The sequence below is a fragment of the Homo sapiens genome, chromosome 17 (genome assembly GCF_000001405.40).
Source record: "Homo sapiens chromosome 17, GRCh38.p14 Primary Assembly".
NCBI classification, from domain to species: domain Eukaryota; kingdom Metazoa; phylum Chordata; class Mammalia; order Primates; family Hominidae; genus Homo; species Homo sapiens.
The window spans coordinates 13,111,887-13,123,754 of NC_000017.11; the positions used below are offsets into that span (position 1 = coordinate 13,111,887).

Below are 11,868 nucleotides of genomic sequence, written 5' to 3' on the forward strand. Positions count from 1 at the left end.
GTTCCCTATTTTTTTTCTTTTCTTTTTCTTTTTTTGAGACAGAGTCTCACTCTAACACCCAGGCTGGAGTGCAGTGATGTGATGTTGGCTCACTGCAACCTCCGCTTCCCAGGTTCAAGTGATTCTTCTGCGTCGGTCTCCTGAGTAGCTGGAATTACAGGCATGCACCACCACACCCAGCTATATATATATATATATATTTTTTTTTTTTTTTTTTGCATTTTTTAGTAGAGACAGGGTTTCACCATGTTGGCCAGGCTGGTTTGTATCTCCTGACTCAAGAGATCTGCTTGCCTTGGTCTCCCAAAATGCTGGGATTACAAGTGTGGACCACCATGCCTGGCCCCGATGGGCCCTTAGAGTAGTGGTCCTGTGTGGTTAGTTCTGCTTCTGTATGCTCAAATCCTGCCTTCCCAACAAGACCTAACACTCTTTGAGGGGAAGAATGGGGTCCATATCTCCAGCCCCAAGTAGGGGAAAAGAACCATCTTCCCCCACCCATTGCTATGTTCATGGCTGAAGCCCCTGTGACAAAAACAATTAACAAAAGGAAAGCATAACAAATTTATGTAATAAGTTTATGTAATACGGGAAACTTCAGAAATGAAGTCACAAAGAAACAGGTAAACCTGTGTATTTTCAGTGCTTGGTTTGATGGAGAACTAAGTAGACCTGGAGAAGAGTGACTGTATTTTTTAAAAGTATGCAAGAAACTTGTGGGAACTTAGCAAAGCTGATTTGTTCAGATTCTTCTCTGTGACCCTGCGTCTTCAGAGAGAAGAAAGTTCCTTTCCTCTGGGCATAGAAAGAGCCCCCGTGGAACGAGAATCCTGGGACCTGATTCAGGGGAGAAGGGCAGAAGAAGGTGAGAGTCACTTTCCTGTTTCTGCTGTTTTCTCAAATGTGAATGTACCATGTTTTAGGGTATCCTGAACCCCATCTCCCATCCACCCTGCCTCGGCCCATAGTCTCTTGTACTGTTTAATGACAAGAGCAAATTCCTTATCCTCGCCAAGATTCGGTTTCCCCATCTGTAAACGGAGATAATGATGAGCTCACTTCATACTTTTACTTCATTGTTGCCAGGGCTAAGGGAGTGAAGCTGGCAATAGATAAATGGTGCCTGATACCATACACCTTGCGGGGCCATACAAAAGGACACAGCACTCTGTCCTCCTAGATTGTTAACTTTCAGTCTTAAATAAAAGAGCTAGGGAAGAAAAAGCTGTTAAGGGGCCAGTTTGAGAAAGAGACAGTAAGTAACAGTTTGTTTCTCAGGGGGCGCAGCCTCCCCTGGGTATGGGCAGGAATTTACCAGGCAGCACACACACAGGGCACTTTGAGCACAGCCCACTTACCTGCTAAGACTTAGGGGGTGTCTGAGGCACTCAGAGCACTGAGCGGGCTATTGTGGGCCCCGAACCAGGAAAAAGCGTCCCTGTAATTGAGCAAAATGCACCCTTTCTCTGGGTTAAAATTCCCAAACTCAAAAGGTTTCAAGTGATCTTATTTTATTGTTATTTTCTTTAACAGGAGACTTTGAGGTGTGAACTGAAAGTCGTTACTCCTCCCCTGAGCTTGACTGCTGGGTTACCCAGAGGAGCCCAGTGTCCTGCAATGAATGGGCATATTATGCCTTCCATTAAAAGTTGTGGCTCTTAATTAAAAACGTGATCGTGAGTCTTTATGGAGACATTGTTTAGGTTTTCTTTAGCTGTTAACACATAATAAATCATTTTAAAAGGACCTTTTCCCCTATCTTTTAATGGTTAGTGCATTTTAAAAAAGTGATTTGAAAATAAAACTGGGATTAAATTTAGTGTTTGACAAGGTGCTAAGGGGCTCACCACCTCTGCCAGGATAAGACAAGAGGGCTTTACTTCATTTGCTACTGACCTTCTTGTTTTCCTAGTTCTAGCCTGGCTTGATCGATTCAAATGGCAGGGTGACTTTGGTGTCAGAAGTTTAACTGGCAGGTATCAGGAAAAGCTGCAGGCAGCCTATGCCACCCCATCTTTCCTTTATTATCTTGCAATTACAAAGCATTCAACTCTGCTGAGAAGAAAAGCCTGCTTTTTTTTATGAACTCTCCAGTAATGCTATAAAGCAAGGAATGACGTGGGTCGCGTGTGGGCGCATGTGTATAATCCACGAATGCCGGAGACCTCGCCCTCATTCTGTCTTCCTAGCACAGGTTCCTTGAGAGTGCAGTGAATGGCTTGAGATCTTGGCTGCCAGTCATCTTGGGAGTTCTGAGCGAACAGAGGCAGGGACTGGCTTGTGTCTGAATGACGGTCACAAAGACTTCTGCATTTATTGTGCAAGTTCTTAGGGCCCTTGGGTTGGATGGAACAGAGGACTCAAGACGGAAGGACAAGCCGGGAGATGTGGCACCGTGGGTGTGCAATGTACCTATAGGAATGCCTGCAGACAGCATTCCTCTGCAAAGGAGGAAAACAATACTCCATGCGGGTATTATGAGAGGGCACGTGCGAAAGGGTTTTTGCAAACTGAGTGTCACCAGACAAATAGGAGAGATGATGATGATGCTTCTGCCAATTCTGCTTCACAATCATTTTCAAAAATCATTTCTTTGCAAAATTTCTAGTTGGCTGAGAAGATGGTTTCAGCTCTCTGCGTCCTGCATTCTAATGAGATTTCCAGATAGAGAAAGGCACTATGTTGTTTGCTGCTAGGCAAGATGCTTGCTGTCCATGACGTTTTCCTTGCTGCGAGGTGCCCATCTCTAAGCTAGGATTCGGCCTCAGAGCCTCGGTGTTGAGCAGTTTCGCCGTGAGGCCAGGAGAGGGCGGGCTGCCCCTCTGCTCTTCCGCTCCTGGGCTCCCGTCTCCCTGTCCTGGCTGTGACCCTCACTCTTGTGTGCCACGGAGACCACACACATGGCGGGCAGTGGTTTTTCATCATGTTTACTGAAGGGAAAGGGAATTTAAGAGGAATTCTCCAGAAATTACAAAATGCCAGACGTCTCATTCCTGGTTACAGCCCATTCCAGCGTTTATCCCTGATTCAACCTGGGGTCACTCTCGGCTCAGACTCTCACCTCCCGCAGCCTCTCTCCTCTGGCTTTGCCCAGCCTACTGTCTGCCTGCCTCCCTGGCTCTCGCTCTCAGTCCTCCCTCTGGGTCCCCCCGCCCAGTCCCTACCTCATAATTTTCTTTTTGTATCTCAGGCCGGTCTCCCCATCTCCCCCACCTCAGAGAAGAGGAATGATCTCATTGCTTTCACACGTTTCGAGGAAGACAGTAGCTTCCATCCAGCCTAAGCAGAAAACCCGCAAAACTCATGACTTCCGCGTTGACCTGGGAGTGCACCTGCCAGTACGTGGCTTTCCACTTTGAGAATGAATGACAGTCATTCCCTTTCACCTGAAGGAAAAGCTCTGTCCTCTCCTAGTCAACTCTGCAGCCTTCGACTTTAGAAAAAAGAATCTTCTAGCAGGAAGGCTTAAAGGGGGTCCCCGATGACCGGTCCAGTGGGCCGGGCTTGGAATACAGTGGGTGGCAGTGAGCTGCCCGCCGCTGGGGGCAGCTGGTTTCATCTGGAGAACCATGTTGTCTCTCCTATAGCTGCAGTCCGGTGGCCTAGTCCTTCTCTCTGGAAACATACGAAGTGAACCTCATCATTTTCCTGACAGTCCTGAAGTTATTCAGAGACAGCAATCACATCTGGGGTGTTTTCTTTTCCCGGTTAAAAAAATCCCCGTTTCTGGGCCGGGCGCGGTGGCTCACTCCTGTAATCCCAGCACTTTGGGAGGCCGAGGCGGGCGGATCACGAGGTCAGGAAATCGAGACCATCCTGGCTAACATGGTGAAACTCCGTCTCTACTAGAAATACAAAAAATTAGCCAGGCGTGGTGGCAGGTGCCTGTAGTCCCAGCTACTCGGGAGGCTGAGGCAGGAGAATCGCTTGAACCCGGGAGGCGAAGGTTGCAGTGAGCCGAGATCCTGCCTACTGCATTCCAGCCTGGTTGACAGAGCAAGACTCCGTCTCAAAAAAAAAAAAAAAAAAAAAAAAAAATACTATGTGCCAACAGTAAGCACTCAGTAAGTAAAAATTCTAACACTGTTATATTTCTAGTATTATACTCTTAAATACTATCATTTGATCAATCCTATCTACACAGAAGTATAAAACAGATGCAATGCATGAAATAGAATGAAAACAAAATCTCGTTCCTTTCCCGGTCCGCTAATTCCATTCCTACAAGAGCACCTGTGCAGATTTTGTGTGTATACTTCCAGGTATTTTCTATGCATGGACAAGTATACATTTGTATATAATCTCTCTCCCATGAACGGCTTTATACTAATAGGTACAGCTATGTCTTAATTTTTTTCCACATAATAATAAAATTGGGACATCATTCTAGCCTTTCCATCTCAAAAAGTAGAAACCTGCCTCATTTAAAAACTATTTTTATGGCCCGGCGTGGTGGCTCACTCCTGTAATCCGAGCACTTTGGGAAGCCGAGGCGGGTGGATCACGAGGTCAGGAGATCGAGACCATCCTGGCCAACATGGTGAAACCCCGTCTCTACTAAAAGTACAAAAATTAGCTGGGTGTGGTGGCGCATGCCTGTAGTCCCAGCTACTTGGGAGGCTGAGGCAGGAGAATGGCATGAACCCGGGAGGTGGAGGTTGCAGTGAGCCAAGATCACACCACTGCATTCCAGCCTCACAACAGAGCGAGACTCCATCTCAAAACAAACAAACAACAACAACAAGAGAAAACTATTTTTATTATATATGCACCTATGTACAATTTTTGGAAAGTGCATGGGTATGGCGTATACACTGTAGTTTTAGCAGAAGCATTTGATACCATCAAAAGAGTAAACACAACCCATATATAGCCTCTGAAGCATAATAGAATGAATACCTGAGACTCTACCACTCAACATCAGAAATAAAACATGAGTGATAGTGTTGAAATACTATTGATATTCCTCCCTATTCTCTCTCCACTTCCCCATCAGGAATCCCTCATTTTTCTCATTCCCTCACTCTTCTTACTAGTTTTAGCATATATATATTTGTCTCCAAGTAATGCATTGTTTTGTTTTGCCTGTTTTTACTAGCTTAAAAATTGTATTATATTGAAGAGATCTGTGATTTGCTTTTTTTTTTTTGAGATGAAATCTTGCTCTGTCACCCACTCTGGAGTACAGTGGCGCAATCTCAGCTCACTGCAGCCTCTGCCTCCTGGGTTCAGGTGATTCTTCTGCCTCAGCCTCCTGAGTAGCCACCACACCCAGCTAATTTTTTTGTATTTTTAGTAGAGATGGGGTTTCAGTACCTTTGCCAGGCTGGTCTCGAACTCCTGACCTTAAGTGATCTGCCTGCCTTGGCCTCCCAAAATGCTGGGGTTACAGGCTGAGCCACCACAGCCAGTGTGTGATTTGCTTTTAAATTCAACATTATGTTTCTGATGTACATGTCAATGTGCTTAGCCCTATTTGATTTCCACTGTTGAACTTATGTCATTATATAAAAGATTTATCTACCAATTTTGGGTTATTTTTCATTTTCTGCTGTGGTAAATAATGCCATAAAGACTGGACGTGTCTTTTGTATTTTTTTAAAAAATGGTTGTATTGTGCGACTGGCCATAATTATTTATTCTTTTATTAATAAATATATGTGTGTGTGTGTCTATATTTGTTCTTGAGTTATCTTCTCTGTGCGGATAAAGATCATGTTTATGCTAATTCTGAATACATCTGTCTATCTAATTGTTGACTATTGCCTTTCTGCATGACAGATAAGAATTTTCATTACTTTTTTTTGGAGACAACATCTCACCCTTTAGCCTGAAGAGACAGGCTGGAGTGCAGTGGTGCAATCATGGCTCATTGCAGCCTTGAATTCCTGGGCTCAAGTGATCCTACCACTTTAGCCTCCTGAGTAGCTGAGACTACAGGCACATGCCTCCATGCCTGGCTAATTATTTGGAAATTTTTGTAGAGACAGTGTCTCACTATGTTGCTCAGTCTGGTCTTGAATTCCTGGCCTCAACTGATCCTCATGCCTTGGCCTTCCAAAATGTTGGGATTACAGGCATAAGCCACTGTGCTCCACCAAACATTTTCATTACTTTTACCATCAGCAATCTGGTACACTAATTATAAAATGCTTATATTATTTCCTAGCTCCTTTAGTCACATCTGCAAATTCAAACGTTAGCCTTCAATTCCCATTTCTCCATTCTGTAGTATCGCAAACTTGTCTCTTATCCTTTTCTCTGCTAGTTCTCTTCCCCTACTACCTCTCAAACTTTATTCAAGTTTTTATTATTAAAGTTTATAATATTTATATGTTGTTATGTAAGTAACATTGCCTTCTCTGCCAGAATTGATTCTAAAAGTTGAAAACTAACCCACAACACTTATCATTCATAGGTATGCAATTACTGTTGTCTGCAGAACCAAGTAATCTGCTGTGATTACATTTTGTGGCTATATGTAAAATATGATGATCCTTGGGACACTTACAGGACAATCTTTCTCTAGGTTCAAGTTCAAATGGGGTCTGCTTTTTCTCTACTCCATAATTGCCTTTATCATCTTCTCACATTTCCCCAGTTTTCAATCCTGAGAGATATCCTATCCATTTCCCCTACTCAGCCCCTCCCTAAACTCACTCTGTATCCTAATTGGTTATGATCCAAACCTGTTGCTGTCATCCTGGGATGGTTATCATACAGAGCTAGGTAATTCCAGAGTTTACCCTCTTTTTCCCTTCCTTCCTTTCTCTCTCCTTTCTTTTCTTTTCTTTTTCTTTCTTTCTTTCTTTCTTTCTTTCTTTCTTTCTTTCTTTCTTTCTTTCTTTCTTTCTTTCTTTCTCTTTCCTCCTTTTCTGCATTGGATTGATTGAAGATTCCACATCTTTCTCTATCTTGGTTTATCCTCTTGTTTTACAAGTCATTTCATAAGAATAGTTTCATTGGAGGTAAACTTTCTGATCTCTTTAAAATCCTGAAAAATACTTTACCCTTACATTTCATTGATGCATGAATCAGTCAGAACACAAAGAAAATGGATGTTATTCAATTTGTTTATAAAGTCACTTACTCAACAAACGTTGAATAAGTATTATGTACCATACACTATAAATAAAAAGATGAATAAAACAGTTTTGCCCTGGAGTTGTTCCTAGTGTAGTGACAAAGGACAAATATACACACTTAATTACAATACAATGAGGTAACTGCTCTCTCAGAAACATGTAATATTAAAATATGTACTCTAGATAATTAGATAATAAATGCATTGGCCAATCATCAAGAAAAAGGTGTGACTGTGACTTGGTTTTTGAGAAATATTAATAGCTATGTTCTAAATATTTGACATATCTCATTTCATTCTCACAACAATCCCTATGAGGTCAACTCTTTCTCCTTTTTTTTTTTTGAGACAGAGTTTCACTCTTGTTGCCCAGGCTGGAGTGCAATGGCGCGATCTTTGCTCACCACAACCTCTGCCTCCCAGGTTCAAGCGATTCTCGTGCCTCAGCCTCCCAAGTAGCTGGGATTACAGGCATGTACCATCACGCCCAGCTAATTTTGTATTTTTAGTAGAGATGGGGTTTCTCCATGTTGGTCAGGCTGGTCTCAAACTCCCAATCTCAGGTGATCCACCTGCCTTGGCCTCCCAAAGTGCTGGGACTGCAGGCGTGAGGCACGCGCCCAGCCCTTTCTCCTTTTGTTTAAAGATGAGAGGATAGGGTCTCAGAGGGATTGAGTATATTGCCTATTATTACAGAACAGGTACATGGAAAACAAATGGTTATCATACAGAGCTAGGTAATTCCACAGTTTACCCTCTTTTTCCCTTCCTTCCTTCCTTCCTTCCTTCCTTCCTTCCTTCCTTCCTTCCTCCCTTCCTCCCTCCCTTCCTTCCTTTCTTCCTTCCTTCCCTCTCTCTCTCTCTTTCTTTCTCTTTCTTTCCTTCTTTTTTTTTTTTTTTTGGACAGGATCTGGCTCTGTAGCCAGACTGAAGTGCGGTGGTGCGATCAAAGCTCACTGTAAACTCAAACTCCTGAGCTCAAGCGATCCTCCTACTTTAGCCTCCTGAGTAGCTGGGACCCCAGGTATGTGCCACCATGCCTGGCTAATTTTTTAAAATTGTTTGTAGAGACGAGGTCTTCCTATGTTGTTCAGGCTGGTCTTAAACTCCTGGCCTCAAGTGACATCCCACCTTAACCTTTCAAAATATGGTGGTTTTAGGGGGTAACCACTGTGCTGGGCAAGAGTTTACTATCCTATTCACTCCATTATTTTATATCACAATAAGTGTTCAGTAGAAGAAGATAGAATGGTGGCTGTTGTCCTAGAGATGGTTTTCTGGAGACAGTGAGGTAGGAACACAGTCTTGAAGGATTTTCAACATTTGAATAAACATAGAAGATGCAGGGGAGAGGATTCCTAGTTAAATTCCCTTGAAGGGGGTTTAACCAGGGTGAACTGAATTGCAGTGGGTGAAATTCAGGTGGTAACTATCTGTTTTCTTTTTTAAAAAACACTTTTACAAGAACTTTCTAAGCTCAAGAAAATGTCTTAATGAGGATTCTTCCTTCTCTCTTTCCCCAGGGTTGTGTAGTGATCCTAAAAGTTCAGCTGGCCAGACCATCAGAGAGGTCTTTCTTCTCCCCTCCCCCTGGGTGGTGGCTGGGATGTTCATCCTCTTTGTCCACATGGCTTCTGGAGTTTGGCAGCTCAGCTGGTTTTGTTTTTCCTCGAGAACCTTACTGAGCTTTTCCTGGGTTCATCACCAGCCATCCCTCTGTGGTCTGACCACATTCTATCCCAGAGAACTAAATGAGTCCTCACTGCTCAAGTGACCAACCTGTAGTCGCTACAGTCTGGGGAAAAATCTCTCCCCTTCTCTGTTGGCCTTCAAAATCTCTCTCTCTTTCTCACTCGCTCATACACACATACATCTCTTCTCTCTGAACTCCAAACACGATCTTTTCAATGAGCTCAGGCTTCTGAAAACATGCAGATCTGTTGACTTGAAGCAACGTCTATTTTCAGTGCTACAAGAGTCATGAAGGCAAGAAAATGGGAAGGGAGAAAACTGAGAAACAGAACTGGGGGCAGGCTAAGTGGGTGCAGCCACTCGGAGGAATTTGACCATATCTGGTGACGCTGAAGAGACACATGTTCCAGGAGGGCAGCTGGCGGTTTTACTGGGGCACAGCAGCATTCGCTGATTTTTGTATTGTCTACAGCTGCTTTCAGGCCACAGTGGAGAGCTGAGAAGTTGTGACAAAGACCATTTGGTGTCAAAAGACTGAAACATTTCCTATCTGTGTTGTTGACCCCTGTTTCAGATGAACAACTCGACTTCTAGATATGCACGGTTGACTCTCACAGATGTGTTTTAGAGGACACGTTCCCTACAGTGCTGCTTGTAGTAGAAAAACCTGGAAACAAAAGAAGTATCTTTCAACGGATAAATACATTATAGTGTTCTTCGGCTGTGGAATACAACAAAGAAAGAAAAACGAGTGAACTAGGACTGAATGCATCAACATAACTACAAATACCCTGAACAAAATGTTGGCCAGGCACGGTGGCTCACTCCTGTAATCCCAGCACTTTGGGAGGCCAAGGTGGGCAGATCACTTGAGTCAGAATTTTGAGACCAGCCTGGCCAAGACGGTGAAACCTCATCTCTACTAAAAATACAAAAAATAACTGGGAGTGGTGGTGCACACCTGTAATCCCAGCTCCTTGGGAGGCTGAGACAGGAGAATTACTTAAATCCAGGAGGCAGAGGTTGCAGTGAGCTGAGATCGTGCCACTGGACTCCAGCTTGGGCCATAGAGCGAGACTCAGTCTCAAACAAAACAAAACAAAACAAAATAAAAAAACCAAATACTCTGAACAAAATGTTGAGAGAGAAATGTGTACCATATGATAAATTTATTTAAATTTTAATGAAATCAAAAGGCATTATACATATTGTTTACCAATATGTGTATTTATATCTGTATTCCCTATATATGCAATATATATTTTATATCTGTTATAAAGAGAGGGAGGAATAGAGACAGGAGAGAGAGGAAGAGAGAAAAAGAGATATACTAAACATCTGTGTAGACTTTAAAAAACACAAAATATTATCCATACTGTTCATATATACATATATGGGTATGTGTGTGTGTGTGTGTGTGTGTGTGTGAGAGAGAGAGAGAGAGAGATCTCCAGAAAAGGTGAGGAATAGTATTGGTGAGAAGAACAAAAAGTGATCTACCTATAATGTTTTATCTCTATTATTTAAAAAAAATGAAGTTGAAATGGCAAAACATTAGCATTTGTTAATTCCGGATAGCGGGTACACAGATATGTAGGTTTATCATTTCCCCCGCCCCTGTACTTTAAAAAGCTTCTTAAAAAACCCACTAAGGGCTTAGCAACTTGTTCGAAACGCAGGCCGTGAGAAGGAAGAAGACGGGGGAAAATGATCCTGGGACATACTTGTAATTTTCTTCCCTGGTTCAGCTCCGTGGCTGAACACAGTGGGGGAGGTCACCCCTCCGCGTCTTTCCCTCTAGATAGCAAGGGTGTCTGACACCCTATTCACATTTCTCTTGAAGAAGCCCTGCTGTTTTACTGCAGTTTCTCTGCATCAAGGACAGCAATGCAGCTTTACAATGAAGGTCTTTGGTCTGCTTGACTTTCTGTGCTTGGATGTCAGAGACCCACTCTGACCTTGGTTTGCACTTGATCAATTGCCTCCATGTTTAAGAATCGTCAGTGGAAATCCTCCAATCCTCTGTGATAAACCTGCTCTCTAAGGAACCCAGTGGGGGCAAAACTGTGTTTATTTATATCTCTGAGATCATCAGAAGTGTCTACAAGGTACTCTAAAACTGGTAGAGTGAAAACAGTTATTTGAGCTTGATGAGTTTTGTAAGAGCTGTTCCTGAGGGCTAGTTAGGTTCTCTAAATTTCCAGAGCTGTTTAACCCTGTTAACAAGCGTGAAAGAAAAATGGATTCTAGCTTAGGCCTGCTTTATACATTAAAAATACGAAACATGATTTTTTTCTTTTTTATTTTTTGAGACGGAGTCTCGCTCTGTCGCCCAGGCCGGAGTGCAGTGGTGCGACCTAGGCTCACTGCAAGCTCCGCCTCCCGGGTTACGCCATTCTCCTGCCTCAGCCTCCAGAGTAGCTGGGACTACAGGCACCCGCCACCAAGCCCGGCTAATTTTTTGTTATTTTTAGTAGAGACAGGGTTTCACCGTGTTAGCCAGGATGGTCTCGATCTCCTGACCTTGTGACCCACCTGCCTCGGCCTCCCAAAGTGCTGGGATTACAGGCGTGAGTCACCGCGCCCCGCCGAATTTTTTTTTTTTTTTAATTGAGATTTGGGCCTCACCTACCTTTTGAAAAGTTAAAAAAGCAAGTGTAGTGAAAGTTCTAGTTTCATCAACTCGGACAGAATCACTGCTTAAGTAGAATTGAAAGAAGCTTCGGGAGAAAGAAAGTGTCATCTCACAAACCCCTAGGGAGGGGGCCCTAGACACAGTTAGATGTGAATACTTGTCCCTAGGTCTTCAAATTTCAAAAGCTTTAGGGAAGAAAGACCTGTTATTCCAAACCTGAATCATTATGAGGGACAATAACCCAGAAAGGAGAAAATGCCCTCAGAAATTAAATTCTGACAATATACTTACAAATGATTTTTGATGAAGAAAAGAGGGAGATATCTTTAAAAATCAAAACGGCTATACTCTCTGATTAATTCATATTTTAAGAGAACATGTACAAGAGATATAAGGGGAGGCCTAGTACAAGGGACAAATGGAGAATAGTGGCTGGCATGAATGTGCAAAGGCAGAG

The 11,868-nt window shown here is 43.1% G+C and overlaps 1 annotated feature.

Annotated features, from left to right (window-relative positions):
• Window positions 444–3,256: an enhancer, noted in NCBI's record as "VISTA enhancer hs1497". NCBI's record gives its function as "enhancer in: facial mesenchyme[3/5]" and the evidence as "EXISTENCE:transgenic organism evidence [ECO:0001131][PMID:17130149]".